Here is a 21,776-nt window from a genome sequence, read left to right on the forward strand (position 1 = left end):
GTCTGCGGAGCTATTGATATGGGAGCACATAGGTACGTGATGGAGTGTATTTACGAGAGAGAAATGTGGGAAGGTGAGGGGTCACATGAACTTGGAGCACTGGTCCTGTCAGGCAGCCTAGACAGGGGAGCCAAAGTAAACAATTCAAAATTACCACTATTCATGAGTTCGCTCATGACCACAAAGAGGCAAGTGCCAGTTCGTTGGTTCAAAACTGATATTTTAGTTAACTGATTGGAGGAAGAGTAGGCAGATTTACATTCTACACAGTCTCAATTATTGTTTACACGTGAATGTGAGCAGTTATTTAATCTCTCTAGTTAACTAGTCTTTAAAAAGAATTGGCGTGATACCTTCCCTGAACTGTTTCATAGGTGTTTTTGTGAGAATGAATGAAGTTTCTATTATAAAATAGTAGTGAATTTTCTTTTGCTTTTGTTTATTTTCTTTGACTGTGTTTTATCACTTTCTCTGAATGCGTTTTTCATTCCTCATTTTTGGAATCCTTTTTTGTATGCTCTTTTCTCTGTTAATATGTGATGTGCCCTGTGCCTACTCTTTGTGACCATCTTCATTTCAGATTTCTTCCTTCAAGCATTACCAAAAAGATGTAGAAGAAGAACTTTGTGAATAGAGAGAGAAACACTTATTTTTCTCTTTTTCATAGATGCCTGCTAACTTATGCCTCCTCCTCCTCTTTCCCTGAAGGAGCTTTGGGCATTTTTCTGTATCTCCTACTCAAGAGAATGGAAAGCTCCAATGCCTTGTATTGCCAGACCTGTTTTTAAAATATGCCCTATTCTTAGGGAGTAACTAAAACTTTATATATCTTCTGTTTTCTCCCCTTCTAGGCAAAGTGGTTCAAACCACAAATTACCTAACAAGTAAAAGTGGTCGTGTAGCAATACTAGAGGAATTTTTATCTTGTTTAGTATAGCTAAACCATCCTTGATTGGGAGTGTTTTCCAGTGAGTTTGCCTTGAATGGCTAAGGAGATCAATAAAGAAATTATATTTTAATGGAAGGAGACTGGTTGGTATGTCTTTAACCATTTGTTTGAATCACTTGAAATGAATTCAAGTTGGTAAGGTATGTTGCCAACTTATATGTTTTTATAATTTTTAAAAATTGTTTGGATATAGGCCTGTAACTTGCCAAATAACTAAGGAGAAATGACAGAATTTAAAAAATATAAATCAAGACAACTAACTTTTCTTTTTGCTCTAGTAGGGAATGAGGACTGGTAAGGAATACTTGACCAAGAAATGAAATATTGTATTTTATTCTTGCTTATAAATGTTTAGCAATGCTCTCTGAAGGAAATGCATAGCAAGCTATGTTAGGATCATTTTAAGTTCTATACGGTGCTGTTATATCCTACTGATACTTTGAATTTAGTCTTGAACAGCTCAGAAGGAGTTTCTGGCTATTGAGGTCAACAGATTTGCCAGGGAAAACTTTGTACTTTACTTATCAAATCACTTTCATATCAAGATACCCCTCTTATTCACTGTATGATGCTGAAGCTCTTACCTTTTCCTCTGTTCATCATCTTTATCTGAACATCCTAAGACCCGTTTTTCCTATAAATGAAAGAACACTTATGAATTTCCCCATTGTCATTTAGTTCCTATAAATCAACTCACTCAGTAGAGCAAAGTAATTCCTTTAAAAAATGCATTCCTTTACTTTTTCTTTGTTTTCTTTTGGTAGAAGCTATGCTTGGTTTGTCCTTAAGGCAATATAAAGTAGTGTTGATGGTTCTCAAAGTGTGGTCTGCAGACCTCTGAGGATCCCTGAGACCATTTCAGGGGTCTGCAAAGTCAAAACTGTTTTCATAATCTTATTAAGATATTATGGCATCTTTTTTACAGTGTTAATGTTTGCATTTACGTTGCAGAAGCAGTGGTGGGCAAAACTGATGACTTGGCATTAACCACAGCAGACGTCAAGCTATACTCATGGTTATTTTATTCTCTGTTGTCACACATACTCAGTTAAAAAAACAACGACAGTTCACTTAAGAATGTCTTTGGCCGGGCACGGTGGCTCACGCCTCTAATCCCAGCACTTTGGGAGGCCGAGGCGGGCGGATCATGAGGTCAGGAGATCGAGACCATCCTGGCTAACACGGTGAAACCCCGTCTCTACTAAAAATACAAAAAAAATTAGCCGGGCCTGGTGGCGGGCGCCTGTAGTCCCAGCTACTCGGGAGACTGAGGCAAGAGAATGGCGTGAACCCGGGAGGCGGAGCTTGCAGTGAGCCGAGATCGCACCACTGCACTCCAGCCTGGGCGACAGAGCGAGACTCCATCTCAAAAAAAAAAAAAAGTCTTTGATGAAGTAACAAAAACTATGAATTTTATAAAGTCATAACCCTTGAGTACACATGCTTTCAATATTCTGTGCGACACAATGAGAGTACACATGGAGGACTACTGCATACCTAAGTACGTTGTCTCAAGGAAAATCCTGAGTGTGATTGAGTTCCAAGCTGAACTAGCTGCTTTTTTCTTGGAACCATCCTTTTTCACTTGGAGGAGTGACTGACGGATGAACTGTGGTTATTCAGATTTGCGCATTTGGCAGACATTTTCCCATGTCTCTATTTTATGCCTATCTTTTTCAGGCCTAACCGTCACCATTGTGCTTATATTTCTGTGAGGCTCTAGTGTTTACAGAGCGTTTATTTATATCTGGTATTACAGATACAGATGGTCTGTGGATCTGAGTTGAATTACTTTAGCATATAATGCTGAATTTAGGTAGAGATCAAAAAAATTAAAATTATAAAAGAATAAGAAACAAATTAAGTCTTCCAGGGCTAAAATTATGGTCTTCTAGGATATTTAGGTTTCTTGTTTTGTTACTACCCGGCTTTACACTTCACTTTTTCTGCCTATTCATGATGGAATTCCTTCTCAATTTTTCTGCAAGGATTTTTTTAGAAGGCAGGAGAAATTGCCAATATCAAAAGATTTCTCTAACTTCATCTCTGGGTATATGGCTAAGGAGGAGTAGTCTGTTCCTCTTAGATTTCTATTACTCTTTTCCTCTACATTGATGTGTGAATGTGATACTGGATTTGTATGAAATTTCAGTTTTAACTGGTCTTTTATTTGTTACGACTTCTACAGAATCTTGCCTCCTGGAATCCTTCAAATCCTGAATGTCTCTTACTTGTGGTGAAGGAACTTGTGCAACAATATCACCAATTCCAATGTAGCCGCCTCCGGGAGAGCTCCCGCCTCATGTTTGAATACCAGACATTACTGGAGGAGCCACAGTATGGAGAGAACATGGAAATTTATGCTGGGAAAAAAAACAACTGGGTAAGGATTTTTGAGAATGGAAAAAAAGATGACTTCATCCATAATAAAATAATCAATTCATATGTCCATTTGTAAATCCTAGTCATTTCTTTAGATAAACATGGTCCAGGTAGCCTATATGTTTCTCATAATTTAGAGTTTAAAGAGACCTTAATGTTTGTCTAGTTCATTGTGTTTCTCAAAGATATTACCTGGGAAGTTTGTAAGATTCAGAGTCTCATCCCCAGCCCCAGATATTCAGCAGTCAGAGGTGGAGCCTGAGGGCCTGCACGTGCTACCAGCCTCCATGTTGTTATGATGTATGTGGCTTGCAGGCCACATTTTGAGACACTAACAAGTTTCCCCCTCCTTTGAGTGGAAGACTTCTCCAATATCCCAGTCAGGTAAGAGAGGTCAGTAACTCTGGAAGCAGCTAGCTTACATGGTGCCTTTTATATTTTCTTTTTGCAACTTATAATTATATGATCCTTTAAAAAATCAAGTCAGACCTTATCACTTCTCTTCCCAGAACCTTATGTACTTCTCTTTTTTTCTCTCATGGTAAAAGCCAAAGTCCTTCCAGTGGTATAAAAAACTCTATATGGAGAAATGCAAATCAAAATCACAATGAGATACCATCTCACACCAGTTAGAATGGCCATAATTAAAAAGTCAGGAAACAACAGATGCTGGAGAGGTTGTGGAGAAATAGGAATGCTTTTACACTGTTGGTGGGAGTGTAAATTAGTTCAACCATTGTGGAAGACAGCGTGGTGATTCCTCAAGAATCTAGAACCAGAAATACCATTTGACTCAGCAATCCCATTACTGGATATATACCCAAAGGATTATAAATCATTTTACTATAAAGACACATGTACACGTATGTTTATTGCAGCACTGTTCACAATAGCAAAGACTTGGAACCAACCCAAATGCCTATCAGTGATAGACTGGATAAAGAAAATGTGGCACATATACACCCTGGAATACTATGCAGCCATAAAAAAGGATGAGTTCATGTCCCTTGCAGGGACATGGATGAAGCTGGAAACCATGATTCTCAGCAAACTAACACAGGAACAGGAAACCAAACATGGCATATTCTCACTCATAAGTGGGAGTTGAGCAGTGAGAACACATGGACACAGGAAGGGGAACATCACACACCGGTGCCTGTTGGTGGGGAGGAGGCTAGGGGAGGGATACCATTAGGAGACATACCTGATGTAGATGATGGGTTGATGGGTGCAGCAAACCACCATGGCATGTGTGTACCTATGAAACAAACCTGCACGTTCTTCACATGTATCCCACAACTTAAATTTTATATAAATATATATTTATATATAAATATATATCTATATAAATATATAAAAAAATATAAATATATATTTATATAAAAAATATATAAATATATATTTATATATATAAATATATATAAATATATATTTATATATATAGATATATATATTTATATATATATAGATATATATAAATATATATAAATATATATTAATATATATAAATATATATATAAATATATATTAATATATATAAATATATATATAAATATATAAATATATATAAAAATATATAAATATATATATAAAAGAAACCCCAAAAAAAGAAAAAACAAAACTCTGTATGATTCCCATCACCACCATCTTCCATCCATCATTAATTTTGTCTGTTCATCTCCTACCTTCCTCTTTCAAATTCAGCTCCAGCCACACTGGCACCCTGCTGTGCAGCAAGCACACCAGGTATTCTCCTGCCCAAGGGTCTTTGCATAGGCTCTCTGTTGTCAGAGATGTTTCCCTCAGATATGCACATGGCTAATACTCTTCCTTCAAACTTCTACTAATGTTATGTTCTCAATGATGCCATGTTAACACCCCCAGTAGCCGTTTTGAGGTATAATTTACATATCATAAATTTACCTGTTTTAAGTGTACAGTTAAATGATTTTTAATAAGTTGGCTGATTTGAGCAACCACCACCATTATCCAGTTTTAGAATGGTTCCATCACCCCAGTGAGATCCCTCATGTCCACTTACAGTTAATCTTGTTCCCACCTCCAGCCCTAGTCAATCACTAAACTACTTTCTGTTTCTATCAATTTTCTTTTCTGAACATTTCTTATGGTGGAATCATACAGTATGTGGTTTTTGTGACTGACTTCTTTCACTTAGCCTATGTTTGAGGTTCATCCATGTTGTGGCATGTATCAGTACTTCATTTCTTTTTATGGCTGAATAATATTCCATTGAATAGACATACTACGTTTTGTTTATCCATTTACCAATTAATGGACACTTGGGTTGTTTCCACTTTTTGACTTTTATGAATAATGCTGCTGTAAGCATTCGTGTGTAAGTATTGGTAATACCCCTTTTAAACATTGTTTTTTACATTGTTTAAACATTTTTTTAAAAAAGACTTGCACCTCTCCTCTATTTTTTACTTTGCTCCACATGGTTTTTTTGCATTTCCTTTTGGCATGCCATATAATTAATGTATTAGTTATATGTTGCTATGTAAAATAATCATTCCAAAACTTAGTGGCTTCAAACAATAACATTTATTATCATAGTTTTTGGCAGCAATCTGGGTAGGTCCTTTGTCTCAGGGTCTCTCACAGGCTGTGCTTGAAGTGTTGGCTAGGGCTCTGGTCATCTCAAGGCTCGACTGGAGATGGAGTCATTATAAATGCATGCATTTAATAGTTGGCGTAGTTCAGTTCCTCATGGGCCATCGAATGGAGGGCCTCAGTTCAGTGCTGGCTGTTGTCTGGAGGCCGCCTTCAACTCCTTGCCTCTCTACAGGGCAGTGCACAAGATTCAGAGCAAGCAAGTAGGGGAGAGCAAGAAGGAGTGTGTGAGCAAGATAGAAGTCATAGTCTTTTATAACCTAATCTTGAAAGTGACAGCCCATCACTTTTGCTGTATTCTATTTGTTAGGTCCAATATCCCACCCTCCCAACACACCTACACCCCCCGCCCCTCCCCGCCACCCACACGCAGAATTACATAGGAATGTGAATACCAGAGACCGCTGGGAGCCACTTAGAGGGAGCCTACCATACTTATTGATTATGTTTATTGTGTGTCTGTCTTCATTGGAATGTAAAATCTCATGAGGGCAGGGATCTTTGTTTTGTTCACTGGTAAATCACAAACGCCTGGAACAGTGTCTTCCACTTCATTGGTATTCCATAAACGTTTTTGAATGAATGAATGAATGAATAAACTCTCATTAAGCACAGAAAAAGTTTAGGTGCTCTTCTCTGCTAATTCTTTTAGGTTTCCCTGTCTTTTTTAGGCTAAATAACACTCCGGCTTTTATTCTTCAGCTTTTTCTTTTTCTTTTTTTTCTTTTTTTGAGACGAAGTCTCACTCTGTGGCCCAGGCTGGAGTGCAGTGGCGTACTCTCGGCTCACTGCAACCTCCGCCTCCTGGGTTCAAGCAATTCTCCTCTCTCAGCCTCCTGAGTAGCTGGGACTACAAGTGCATGCCACCACGCCCGGCTAATTTTTGTATTTTTAGTAGAGACGGGATTTCACTATATTGGTCAGGCTGGTCTTGAATTCATGACCTCAGGTGATCTACCCGCCTTGGCCTCCCAAAGTGCTGGGATTATAGATGTGAGCCACCATGCCTGGCCTCTTCGGCTTTTTCTTAAAGGTTATGATTTTAAGGTTTTACACATGATTAATGCCTTCAAATCAGCATGACTAAAATTTTTCTTATTACAAATCAAGTTGTTTGTTCAGTTCAAGGTTTTTTTCCTTTTGTAAAGTCTTGAATTTATATTTCAGTAAAAGACACATAACACTACATTTGCCGTCTTTACTATTTTTAAGTGTGCAGTTCAGTAGTGTTAAGTATATTCACATTGTTGTGCAACAGATCTCTAGAACTTTTTCATCTTGCAAAGGAAGCCATTAAACACTAATTCCTCCTCCCCCCAGCGCTTGGCAGTCACTTTACTATTTTATGTTTCTATGGTTTTGACTCCTTTAGATACTTCATATGGGTAGAATTGTATAGTATTTGTTTTTTTGTGACTGCTTATTTCACTTAGCATAATGTCTGAGGTTCATCAATGTTGTAGCATGTGATAGGATTTCCTTCCTTTTTAAGGCTGCATAGTGTTCAATTGAGTGTATTTACCATATTTTACTTATCCATTCATCCATCAGTGAACATTTGGGTTGCTTCTACCTCTTGGCTATTGTGAATCATGCTACATTGAACATAGGTGTGCAACTATCTCTTTGAGATTCTGCTTTGAGTTCTTTGGGATATATACCTACAAGTGGGATTGCTAGATTATATATAATCCTATTTTTAATTTTTTGAGGAATTTCCATACTGTTTCCTTAAGGGCTGCACTATTTTACATTCCCATCAACAGTGCATGGTTCAGACTTAAACTATGGATTGTTTTGAAATGTTAATATGTTTATATGGCTCATAAGGAAAACTTTGTTGAACTTAATTTAGCCTCTATCCCCAGCATTTTCCTATTAAATAATCAACTTAATTGTCCTTACATAAATGGGTGTTAGGTTAATTCTTGGTGAACATGTGTTGTCTTTAGTGCTGACAGGCTCATCTGAAAACAGGAATCGCTGTCAAACTAACCAGTCTTTGGTTTTTAGAATTTGCCTTCCTGTCTCATTCCCCCTTTTTTAATAATAATAGTGAATTTGAATATAATCCAGTTTTATGGCACCGTTTGTTACCTAATAATTTTCAAAATGTTATTCAGTGGCTCAGCTAATACTTGAGTTGTAGTTCATCTAGGTGTAGAAGTTTAAATTCATTTCAAGCAGATAGTTTGTATTTATAGTATTTTTTAAACTTTCTGTTTAATGTTACCGATATTCCTTTCTTTACTTACAAAACCTACTACTGCTACACTTATCTCAGTTTATTTTGATTTGATGTTAAGTAGTTTGTAAACATTAGGGCAATGGTTATGGATTCAAGTGAAGTAAAGAAACTGAGAATCCTGTAACAAGGCAAAGCTTACAGCAGACCAGGCCTAGGGAAGGCCTAGTAGAAATGGTAGCTGAGTCTGTAGAAGTAAAACTATGAGTTGGAATCAGGGAAGATCAAGAAACAGGGTATAAAAGTGAGTCTTGAGGGATGAACAAATTAGAGCTTGGCATGAGGGTTCAGGAATATTAAAGGACAGCCTGCTAATGGAGGAAAAATATAGACCAAGAGTCTGGAGATAAACACTGGACCCTGGCAGAAAGAAAGGAGCTTGATTTTGAGCCAAGATTTTTTTGAATCAGGGACTGTATTAGTTTCCTATTGCTGCTGTAAAAATTACCACAAACTTGGTGGCTTAGGACAACACAGACTTATTATGTCATAGTTCTGGAGGGCGGAAGTCCAAAATGGGTCTCCCTTGGCCAAAATCAAGGGGTTGGCAAGGCTGCATGCCTTCTGGAAGCTCTAAAGGAAACCGTTTCAGGGTACTAAAGAAACTTGCAGATATGCTCTCTGGGACATTATCTTTGAGAAATTTTAGAGAAGCAGAAAGATCCTAGAAGACTGTTATAAATAACAACATCCTGGAGATTTTTAAAGAAATTAAGTTCAGATCTTTAAGTAGATGATTTGCAAACATTAAAATAAAAATGCAGTAGTCAATTGGAAAAATAGTTGGGTAACTGGGAAACTGTCATGACAAACTTAGTTTACTTCTTTAAGGAAGGGTAGTATCATAAACTTAGATGATCTCATTTTCAGCGAGGCACTTGGTCATTCTCTCTTAGGATTCCACTGACTTATGCTCCTTTCTTAGTTGTTGGGATCTGTGGAAGCGTTCCACCTAAAAGTTTGGGTATAACTCTTACCAGCCTCAGGTGTTTCGTGGAATGTCACAGGGCTTTTCCTTTGACCCCGTCTTGTTAAGGGTTTTGTTAGGGACTTGAATGAACCCATACAAAGTATGCATTTCTTTTTTCTGCTAGCACAGAGCTTGAAAAGATAGCTATTGTGCAAGATTACAGAATCAACATTAAAAATTATTTTTGTGTGCTGGAATGCTGCACCAAACTAACAAGATGCACTTTAGTAGGGCTCAGCCAGTATGGGACTAATAGATTTATGGAAAGTCTACTATGCTAGGTTTTGGGTTAAAAAAAAATAAAGTAGATCAGATATGGCCTTGGCTCCTGAGACTGTTAAAATCCAATTTGGAAGGTTTAATCTGTATCTCTAAAAGAGGAATTTGAACAATACTGGATAGATTACATCTCAAATGGAATATACAGGCTGTGTGAGCATTCAGCAGAAGAGACAATCACTGAGGAAGGGAGTAACCAAGGAAAGCCTTTACTGGCCAACTGAGCTAGACCCTGAAGGAAGGTGGACGTAGATGGCTCTCTCAAGAGAGATGTTCAGTGGGTTGTATGACTGGGGAAAACTTAGGGACATGACATATATGGGGAATAGAATTGTAAGCATATATTCAACTGGCTTACTGATCAGTAAAACACATCTATTATGTCTTAGTGGCATTTTGCAGCATGAGGACATTTTTGTATGAAATAAATGGATATTTTTTAATTAAAACATGAAAATAGTATATTCTCTAAATGAAACATTATAAGAATCAATAGGTTCTTCCTGATCTGAATGGAAATTCAAGTATTTTAGTTTTTTCTGGTCCAAGTAGTCCATCTGATAAATGCTTGCTATAAAGAATCTAAGACTAGGAATGATTATTTAATCCCTTTGCATTATGCAGGTCTGTATCTGTTAGAGAGGATGGTCTTTACTGTTGTCATCACTGAATTTTTCTTTCTGCCACATACATTTATATTCTTAAAAACATTCCTGCTCTAAAAGTATGAGGCTTTGAAAAACCTGATATGCTTCTTCCTTTTACTATCAGCTGGCATGAGGAAAATGTTACCATGTAGAAGAGGAAAAGGGCTCTGATTTACTATCAGTCTTCCGACAAGTCTGCGAATTTGAAATACACTATTCTCCCCACCCTATGCAGACACTCTTCTCCCTGCCCCCTGAACCTCCATTTAGAAGTTTGAGCAAGCACACATTTGAAAGTAAACATTAACCAAAAAAAACCCATTCTTTATTGTCTAATTCTTTACCGTTGTATTTTTACCAAATTGTTTCTCCTTATTGCTTTGCTCATCTCTTTTAATGATTTTTAGACATTGTAGTCCTTGTCTATGCTGGTTTTATAATGTTTAAGAAATAGTAATAATAATTATAAAACTATAATGTTTAGGAAACCCCTGTTTCTCTAAACAGGTGAAAACAGATGCATATTGGGATGCAAGCTTAATGTTAAGAATGAAGAAGACTTTTCTGCCTGCATGCTCGGAGTCATTTTTTAAAAGTGTATTTATTTTATATTTTGTAAACATTTTCATTTTGAAATAATTATAGATATATAGGAAGTTGCAAAGTAGAGATCCTGAGTATCCTTCACTCAGTTTCCCCCAGTGGTTCGATTTTCTGTAACTATAAAAAAATACAGAAACCAGGAAATTGACATTGGTACAATGTATGTGTATAGTTCTGTGCCACTTCATCACACACGTAATTTCCTGTAATCACTATTGAAATCAAGATGCAGATATTCCATTACCACAAAGATCTCTACTGCTACCCGTTTGAGCAGAGCTATTTTTAAGATCATAATTTTAAAGTGACGAATTCCCATAATGTAAGAACTGCTATTGAAAGTATATATCCTGTTTTGATATATCAAAAAAAGATACATCATACATTTTCTCAATGGGTAAATCCTAAGGTTTCATTTTATATTGCCACTATTATTATTATTTATTATCTCTATTTTATATTGCCTTGTTAACATTTTTGTCATGGATGTGTGTATCAGAAGAACCAGTGTGTCTTAGTCCATTTTCTGTTGCTTACAACAGAATACCCGAAACTAATAACTTATAAAGAAAAGGAATTTATTCCTTACAGTTATAGAAGTTGAGAAGTCCTAGGTTGAGAGGCTGCATCTGATAAGAGCCTTCTTGATATTGGGGACTCTGTGCAGAGTCCTGAGATGGTGCAAGGCATCACATGGCGAGAGGGCTAAGCATGCTAGCATGCTCGCTTAGGTCAATCTCTCTCTTCTTGTAAAGCCGCCAGTTCCCCTCTTATGATAACCCATGAATCCATTAACCCAGTAACCCATGAAAGGCCCCACCTCTTAATACTGCCACATTGGGGGTTAAATTTCAGCATGAGTTTTGGAGAGGACAGATATTCAAACACAGTGTTTATTAATTGCAACAAAGCACAATAAGCAAATTTGTGAATTTTATTTTGATTTGTTTTGATTTCCAGAACTTAAAGTTGGCTTATCATACCTAACATTTTGATTAAAGTGTTTTTTTTTTTGAGATATGAAATGTAAGTTTTGAGGTATTCCAAAACCATATAGTTTACATATAAAAATCATCAATGGGTGATCTGTGAGAGAAAACAGTTTTTTAAGCAACATATTTTTTCCTTAATAATGATTTATGCTTTTATAATGGGGATGTGAGACAATTACCTTTTTTGCTTGTATCTGACCCAAATCCTAGTAAGGTTTTAAAAATCTTTGGCTTATCCATTAAGCTCTGGCAACATTAAAAATATTGTGGAGAAAAGAAAGGAGCCATTTTATGGTATCTCCTCACTTGAGTTAATGTCTTAAGCTTCCCTCATGTCATCGTGCTGCAATATCATGTGCAAAGGGAAAGTATCTGAGCAATGTTTGAGTGTGAGCTCCTCTACACAGAGGCCATTTGAAGATGTGTTGGAGAGGGAGAGTGATCTAGGGGGCAGGAGCTTTGGGTTTTCATTCTGCCACCCGTTCTTTTTGTGTGACTCTAGGTTTTTCCATGTGTCACTTTCCTGGAGATAACTACATTGTTGTCTGGACCTTGACACAAAGATTAAATTAGATCTTGTGTGGGAAACAGAGAGTTAAGTAAATATGGAGTCAAGTAATACAAAGTGTTATTATTACTATTAGCTTTTTTTGGTATATTCTTGTTGTAAGTTATTATAACAGGTGCTCAATAAGTGCCGCTTCAATGATTGTTCCTGTAGGATCTCTCAAAATGCTGTTAATCATAAAGTTACCATATGTGACCAATAGAGGCTGTGACCTCCAAGGTGCAGATAAAGTGTAGAGAGCAAGGTAAAAGTGAAAATCAGAAAAAGAGAGTGTTGCTTATCTTACCAGGAGCAGTTCTGATGGACTTCTGAGGATGGGAAAACAGATTTCAGAGAATTAGGCAGAGAGGTGGAGAAGAGGAAGGAAAGGCAATAGGTTTAGACAGTTTTTGGAGGAAAAAGAAAAAAGATATTGGCTAAAAGAGGCTGTCTCATGGTCATTCCCATTAACCCGCTGACATTTATCAATCTGCTTGTGAGGAATCTTTCAGGTTTATGGTATTTGGCAGCTTACGTAGGTCTTTAGGTATTTGTGGCAGGGAGTGTTTACCTTAATGTCGGGATTAACGTTAATGGGAAAATGTCTAGAACTATGCTGTCCAATACAGGAGCTTCTAGTCAAACATGTGACTATCGAGCATTTGAAATGTGGCTAGTCTGAACTGAGATGTGTGCACGTGGGAAATACACACCAGAGTTTGAAGAATTAGTACAAAAAAACTCATTAATGATTTTTATGTTGATTGCATGTGGAAATGCTAATATTTTAGATATATTGGGATGTATTATTAGCTTTTCACCTGTCTTTTTTTGCCTTTTAAATTGTGACTATTAGAAAATGTTAAATAATCTTAAATTATATATATGGCTCACATTTGTACTTTGCATTATTTTTCTTTCAGACAGCACTGGTCTAGCGTGATAGGAGAGGAGGGCAAGAGTTGCTAAGAGAAAGATAAAAATATCTGGGGAGCCTGGAAGTGGATGGCCTTTCCCCTACTGGCATGAGGATGTAGTAGGTGCTCTGGTCATGCCAGTCAGCCATATATAGCAGGGCATGCAGGGACCTTCACCTATAATCTCCCTTTAATTTTTGCTGCTTGGGAGTTATGTCCTGATGGCATTTGACATGGGGATTAACATGTGGTGGCTCCTTTGAAAAGGGTGTAGTGTGGCGGTCAGATATGCTACAGTATACTCCAAGGAATTGACCATATTTGTTTAGTTTTGTTTTTAACCACACGGAACTGTTAGGAGTTGGACATTATGTAAAATAAATGAACCATGACAGTGTCTCCCTTTTTAATTGTCTTTGTAATGGAATTTGTTGTACTGAATTTTGACTTGCATGTCAATGGAAATACTTAAGATCTTGCTTACAATAGCTTATATTTCTGGTTTTTAACCTTATTAATAAAAAGTAGTGTGTGGATACCTAAATTACTTTATACCTCAAAATATTAAAGGTGTAGATTATAACTTTTAAAATCATACTGATATTCCAAAGGAACTCTGTTACTGTTTTTTAAATAGTAGAGGTATCAGTAGGAAATTCAAGTTACTTTCAGCAGCAGGATGCATCAAGTGGAAAAGATCTTATTTTCAGGAAGCATACGAAACACAAAGGAAATCCTTTCCATTTCCTTTGCCTATACTTTTCAGAACAGCATGTGAGGAAGGACTCTAATTGCGCCCCCTTACTTATCTTTGTGAGGCCACTCATTTGTTCTGAACTGATGGGTGCATTGCCCCATCTCTTTGGTGGCCATTTAGATGTAGGGTGCACTCCTTGCACAGTGTTATCGCCATGAAGGAAATGGACAAGTGTTGTCCAAGGACCAGCTGAGGCGGGTTTTAATGCCTTTTTTTCATGTACTAAAAGGCAAAAGACAAAAAGAATCCTACATTTCAAGTATTCTGTACGAAAACTCTTAAGGTGTTTAAAAAATTGTTTTCGGAAATGTACAAATGATGCAAGCTGTTTCCTTCCTCAGAAAAGAGTTTCCTAGTTTTTCAATTATTTTCAAGAATTCATGGTACCATTAACTTATTTACTTCAAAGAACTGTGGAAATGTGTTGATTAGATCAGGGAGGCTTAACCTAAGCCAAACAGAATTCTTCCCTGGGAATTTGGAGTTAGTACTGAGGGAGTGAGATTGGTCTCTGTATGAGTAATTGGTCTGTAACATGTAAATCTGGGAACTTTTTTCTAATAACATCTGGTCAAAAGAATCAGAAGCTGGCAAATAGAAAGGAAAATGAAGTACAGAGACAGCAGAGACAAGAGACTAAGAGAAAATTCTGTGGGTATTAGAATCCTTGGAACTGAGGCCATGCTATGTTTTTATCCTTAGGTTTCATGAGATCCCTCATATCCTTTCAATAAATTCTCTTTTGTTTGTTCAAATTAGTTTGAATTGGAGTTCTGTCACTGGAAACTGAGTGTCCCGATTAAATTACTTCCAAAGCGTCCTGTGAATATCTCTGTCAAAACACTTACCATGTCGTACTATTTTGTTTAATTGCCAGTCTAGTCAAAATAGACTTTAAGTTCCTTGAGGACACATAGACTGTTTTGTCTTAAGTTCTCCATTATCTAGCCTAGTACTTGGCACAGTATGTGCTCAGTAAATATTTGTTCAATGAATGAATGAATGAATAATGCATGAATTGTGGACATTTTATTATATACGCTTTTAGTTTTTTTTAAATTCCTTAAAATTTTTTCGAATGGATAAGGTATTCATATTATTCAAAAATCAAAGTCTATGTAAAGTAATATAGTGAAAAGTCTCCCTCCCATCTTTGTCCTTTGTCCACCCAAATCATACCACTTTCCTCCTGTCCAGGTAAGCACTAATATAAATTTTTTCTAGTATAGATTTTCAGAGTTAGTTTGTACATATATAAGCAAATACTAATATATATTCCCCCTTTTTATGCAAATGGTAACGTATATTATGCACTGTTTTGGATCTTCCTTTTAACTCAATATAGCTCAGAGATTTTTTCTGTATAAACATATATAGAACTCCCTCATTCTTTTTTTACAATTGTATATTATTACATTGTATAATTGAATTATTATTACATCTGAACTCTATTATTGGATATTGTTTGCTTCTAATCTTTTGCTATTACAAACAATACTGTAATAAATAATCTTGTATATATGTCACTTTGCATGTGTTCAGGTATGTCTGTAAGATAAATAATTAGAAGTGGAATTACTGGATCAAAGATTATGTGTTCATAATTTTATTGTCAAAGTAACTTCCATAAAGTTTATACAGGTTTATTAAACCAGCAGCAATATATGAAAGTGGTTGTTTCTCCACAGTATTGTCAACAGTATATTAAAATATTTGTAGATTTCTGTCAAGTTGCACTTTTTGTCACGGCCAAGTAGCTCCTGTTGACCTAACTCTTCACAACAGCTCAGAGCTCCGAGCAAAATATAGAGCCATTTGCCTGAAAACACTAGAGAGTGATCAAAGCAGGCAGATACTGGATGGACATTGATACTTGGAAGAAGGGAAAGCAGAGCCTTGATATTATGGGATAGTATCAAAATGTTTAATATATAAGAAACGGGAGTCCTAGAAGGGGAAGAGAAAGGGAGAAGGCAGGAAAGTATTTGACAAAATAACACATTTCCAAATATGGTGAAAGACAGAAATTTACAGATTCAAGAAGCTCAACAAACCCCATCTGGGATAAATGCAAGGAAAAACTAAAACAAAACATTATAGTAAAAATACTGATAACCAGACATAAAGAGAAAATCTTAAGTAACCAGAGAAAAATTATGCTTTATGTACAGTTCCCTCTCACTGCTTTTCTTCTTTAGACTTTTCCTGCCTGGTGTTATTTATTTTTCCATGTGGTCTTTTGACTTAGCTTTAAAAAAAATTCCCTCCAAGTAATGAGCCCCCAACCCTAGATGGTTCATTTCCTCCTGGAATTTGCTCTCAGAGCACTGTGCCCTTTGATAGCATTTATCACAGGTTATAATTTATTTTATTTATTTTGTATTTTACATTCAGGGGGTACACGTACAGGGTTATTACAGGGTTATGTTGTGTGATGTTAAGGTTTTGGTTTCTATTGATCTTGCCACCCAAATAGTGAACATAGTACTCAATAGGAAGTTTTTCAGCTCTTGTCCCCTTTCTTTCCTCCCTCCTTCTGGAGTCCCCAGTGTCTGTTGTTCCCATCGTTATGTGTGTGTGTGCTCAGTGTTTAGCTCCCACTTATAAGTGAGAACATGTGGTATATGGTTTTCTGTTTCTGCATTAATTTCCTTAGGATAATGACCTCCAGCTATATCCATGTTGCTGCAGAGGACATGATTTTGTTCTTTTTTAATTTCTGTGTTGTATTCTATGGTGTATATGTACCACATTTTAAAAATCCAGTTCACCACTGATGGGCACCTAGGTAGTTTCCATGTCTTTGTTATTGTGAACAGTGCTATAATAAACATATAAGTGGAGGTGTCCTTTTGGTAGAGCGATTTATTTTCCTTTGGGTATGTACCCAGTAGTAGAATTGCTGGATCAAATGGTAGTTCTATTTTTAGTTCTATGAGAAATCTTCAAACTGCTTTCCACCTGCCTGAACTAACTTACATTCCCACTAACAGTGTTTAAGTATTCCCATTTCTCCACACAGGTTATAATTGATAGGAGTGATTATTTTGATTGATATCTGACTCACCTACTAGACTATAAGCTCCAAAAGGGCAGTGGTCCTGTCTCTTTTACTCACTAGATGCCTAGCGGAGTGCCTGACACATTTTAGGCCCTTAATACATACTCGTGAATGGATGAATACACCTTGAGTCTTGAGGTTGAGCTCTGTGACTCTTTGTTACTCTCTCAATAACTGTAGGCAAGTTTCTTGACTGTTCTAGGCCTCAGTTTTTTCATTTCTAAGTATAAATGAATTGTATCTACCAAGCAGGGTTTTGGGATAATTAAATGACATATCTTAGAAAACATTTTGTAAATTATAAAATTCTAGTTAGACTAACTTTGACTTTCCTTTTCACATTTAGTGTATATGTATGCATGTGCTAAGGAACAATCTCCAGATTTAGGCTCACTGGTTTTCAGAGTCCATTTGAAGAATCAGCCTTACCAGTTTGTCACCCAGCTAAAGTTATAATCACTTGAGTGTTTCTTAGCTTTTAGCTGTCTAAGTGGTAAGAGCAGTCAATTTCAGATAAAAGCTTGTTTGTTGACAAGGGAAGTGCCTCTAAGAAAGGAAGTAAAATTTTCCCTTACAGAACAACCTGAACTTGGACTCCATTCTGCACAAAATGTCTACCTGTCACTTCTAAAAGGAGAAGAAAACTGTCACAGCTGTGATTACCAAAAGCAAAGCTTAGACTTAATAAATTGCCAAAACTCAGAGTCTTGTTAGTTTAAGTTGCTTGCCAACGTACTATAACTTGAAAAAAGGAAAGATGCACATATTTATTGCTAATGCTGGGGAAATTGCCATTAAGACAGTTGGCAGAAAGGCTGACATTTTAACAGTCATAGGTTAGATAATTTTCTGCATCTATCCAAGAGAAGATTTTGACCAAGGACTGACAAAAAAAAAAAATCAAATTATTCTGTTCACTTGGCGGCATCTAAATGTCTCATTTTCAGCTTACAGGAAAGATTGCTGTGAAAGCAATCTTTGACATTACAACTGAGTGACCATAAATTGCTTGAATAGCTGTTGGAAATTCAAATATAAAACCACATGAAAAGTCATTATCTGAGGTAGAACAAGGATTTTTCACTTGTTTTGCTCTTCATTTACAGTTTATAACTTAATTTTACATTAAGATTGTTTTAAAATTATCATGTACTCAGTTTCACAGAAGATGATTAGCTTATAGGTCATAAGGAAAATCAGTGCCAGAATGAAAAACTGAATTCTTTTTTTTTTTTTTTTTTTTTTTTGAGACGGAGTCTCGCTCTGTCGCCCAGGCTGGAGTGCAGTGGCGGGATCTCGGCTCACTGCAAGCTCCGCCTCCCGGGTTCACGCCATTCTCCTGCCTCAGCCTCCAGAGTAGCTGGGACTACAGGCGCCCGCCACTACGCCCGGCTAATTTTTTGTATTTTTAGTAGAGACGGGGTTTCACCGTTTTAGCCGGGATGGTCTCGATCTCCTGACCTCGTGATCCGCCCGCCTCGGCCTCCCAAAGTGCTGGGATTACAGGCGTGAGCCACCGCGCCCGGCCGAAAAACTGAATTCTTGAGTCTTAGCGTTCAACATTTCCAGTGCTGTCAGAAACAAGTGCTGAGTTTTCTTTGTTCTTCCAATGGCAAAATAAGGAATGTATGATAGGCTTGAAAGTTGGCAATCATAAAGTGCTTTTTATGGTTTCCCAAATTCCCTTCATAGTATTGTTTCTTTTATTATGAATTTAGTTGTGTAAATCAGCCTGTTGCTGATAAACAAAAATTTATATTAGTCCTGGGACCAACATTTCTTTCAGTATGACATTAGTTGTGTAAATCAGCCTGTTGCCAATAAACACAAATTTGTATTAATTCTAGGATCAACATTTTGAGAAGGAATAAAGTAGGGATCATCTAAGAGTTTTTAAAAGAATGTGGGTCTAAAATAGCTGGTAGAATAAAAATACATTGTACAAGCTAAAATAGGGCAAAAGAGCTAAAATGCAGTGCATGGACTAAAATAACTAGCAGTTCAAATGAGTCCAAGTGCTAAATATGTAATTATCTTTCCTATTACCTTATATGTACAAGAGTTATTTTAACTTTTAAAATCCTACATTTCACTTTTGTTGTTGTTTATTTATGTATGTATATGTAAAATCAGGCATATATATATACACACCTCTGAGTTTAAAAGTTTTCAAATTGCATTTTAATTTACAGGTTACAGGTTGACATTTTACACTAGTAGGCAGAAATGGTTATTTATTTATTGGTAGGTGGTTTGCTTTATAAACTGAAAATGAAGAAATGACTTGAGTTTGGTTTATCATCATCCCTCCAATTCCCTTCCCCAAACTCTTTGAATCTCATGGTACTTTTTAAAAGCTTGCCTCAACATCCCCAGGAATAACTTCACAGTTGTTCCACATAGATGTAGTAGCCATTTTCTTATTCACTAATTTTATGAATGATTGTTGCACATCCTCCAGGGGTTTAGAAATTGCTCATACCATGGAGGAGAGAGTTTCTGGGTGACTTTGATCCGTGTTAGTGCTTATTTGCTCCTGTAACCCCGACCTTTTTGCCATCCCCTGAACACAGGCACACGCCTGCATCAACCCTTTTTATACTTGTTCTCTGGGGTGTTTTTCCTTCAGTTCCACATGGTTTGTTTCTTACCCTCTTTCCATCTTTGCTCAATTGTTAACTTGTCAAATTACTCTGTAAAGGAGCTAAATCCTGACCATTTGGTAGTTTTGAGCAAACGAGGATTAGAATCCAAGTGACATGTTGAAAGAATCACTCTGCCTATTGTCATGAGAATAAACTGCAGGTGAACAAGGGCTGACAGAGTTAGGGGCAATTGCAGTTGTCCAGGCGTAGAGATAAAGGTGGTTCAGATCAGGTGGTTAGAGAGGTGGTGAAAAGTGGTTGGACTCAGGATATATTTTGAAGGGAGAGTCCAAAAGTCAATATTTTGAAGGGAGACTCAGGATATATTTTGAAGGGAGAGTTAACAAGATTTTGCCGCCACTTTGAATGTGAGGTGAGAGGGAAAGATAGAAGTCAAAAATGACTCTAGGTTTTTGGCCTGCGTGACTGAAAGAATGGAATTGCCATTTACTGAAATGAGGAATAAATATCAAGAGAAGAGCACAAAATCAGGAATTTAGTTTTGTTTATAGGAGTTGGATAAATGAAATTTGAATTTAAAAAAAGGTCTGGGATGAAGATACACAAGTTGGGAGTCATCAGCATATACATTATTTAAAGTCATGAGCCTGAATGAGATCATCTGGGCATGTAAATAAAGAAAAGGGTCTTAGAGTTAAGCCCAGGCATACCCCAATCTCCAATGTTCAAGGATTGAGGAGACCAGAGGGAGAGCCAGTGAAGTAGAGAAACTGGGACTCTGGAAACCAAGTAAAGAATGTTCCAGGAAAGGAGTGATCAGCTGTGTCAAATGCTGCTGGTAGAACACTAAGATAAAGACCGAGAAATGATCATTGAATTTGGCAATGGGGAGGTCATTGGTGACCTTGAGGAACTGTTTTGGTGGAGTGGTGGTAGGGAAAGGCTGACTGGTGAGGGCTTAAGAGAAAATAATAAAAGAGGAAATGTAGACCTCAAATATAGATTAACTTTTTACAGGTGATTATTTTTTAAAGTAAAACAGAGAAATGAAATGGGAGCTGAAGAAGGATATGAAGTGAATGGAAACATTTTAAAAATGATGTTTATAAGGCCGAGATGGGCCGATCACGAGGTCAGGAGATAAAGACCATCCTGGCTAACATGGTGAAACCCCGTCTCTACTGAAAATACAAAAAATTAGCCGGGCGTGGTGGCGGGCGCCTGTAGTCCCAGCTACTCGGGAGGCTGAGGCAGGAGAATGGCGTGAACCCAGGAGGTGGAGCTTGCAGTGAGCTGAGATCGCGCCACTGCACTCCAGCCTGGGGGACAGAGTGAGACTCCGTCTCAAAAAAATAAAAAAAATGATGTTTATATGCTGATGAAAGTGATTGAGTAAAGAAGGGAAAAATTAATTATATAGGAGAAAGAGAATGTGGACAGTTGTTGGGAGCATGTTTTTTTTTTTTTTTTAGACGGAGTCTTGCTCTGTCGCCCAGGCTAGAGTGCAGTGGTGTGATCTTGGCACATTGCAACCTCCGCCTCCTCCTGGTTCAAGGGATTCTCATGCCTCAGCCGCCCCAGTAGCTGGGATTACAGGCACATGCCACCATGCCTGGCTAATTTTTGTATTTTTAGTAGAGACGGGGTTTCACCATATTGGCCAGGCTGGTCTCGAACTCCTGACCTTGTGATCCGCCTGCCTTGGCCTTGCAAAGTGCTGGTATTACAGGCATGAGCCAATGTGCCTGGCCTGGAGCATGTATTCTTTTATGAGTGGTCCTTCTTCTGTGGCACTGTACACAGTGCTAAGGGAAGACTTTTCTGTCTTTCCTTCTACACTCCCAGATTCTCACTGGGCTAGGTGTCCCTTTTATAAGCTCCCATTTAACTCTATGCTGTTATTGTTGCCTCTACACTTACCCCTTTCAAAGTATGACCCCTTGTACTTAAAAACAGACCTTTTTAGGTTTAGCTGTGTCTTGATCCAAAGAACCACACTTACCAGAGTATGTTAGTTTTAGAGTCATCTAGGAGCTCAGCATAATACCAAAACCACACCTTTTGGTAATCTTGGACTGTAACAGAAGGCAAGAATTATAATAGGATCTCACAAACCTTCTCCCACCCACCATGATGAGCTATTTGTAGATCCTTAGTGGCTCTTAAGTATTCTCCCAAGTGTTGAGT

The 21,776-nt window shown here is 37.3% G+C and overlaps 1 protein-coding gene across 14 annotated transcripts in view; it reads left to right on the top strand.

Moving 5' to 3' along the window:
- The window catches only part of BABAM2 (BRISC and BRCA1 A complex member 2), a 450,193-nt gene that overhangs the window by 133,380 nt on the left and 295,037 nt on the right, over positions 1-21,776 (top strand). For all 14 annotated transcript variants that reach the window (NR_137438.2, NR_137440.2, NR_137439.2 and 11 more), the window contains one exon: positions 3,138-3,332. Coding sequence is in view for 10 of the 14 variants with exons in the window: in NM_001329112.1 (NP_001316041.1) it covers positions 3,138-3,332 (195 nt within the window). In the remaining 4 variants the exon portion in view is untranslated. The remainder of the gene's footprint in view (positions 1-3,137; positions 3,333-21,776) is intronic.

This window comes from Homo sapiens, chromosome 2 (assembly GCF_000001405.40).
Source record: "Homo sapiens chromosome 2, GRCh38.p14 Primary Assembly".
Lineage (NCBI taxonomy): Eukaryota > Metazoa > Chordata > Mammalia > Primates > Hominidae > Homo > Homo sapiens.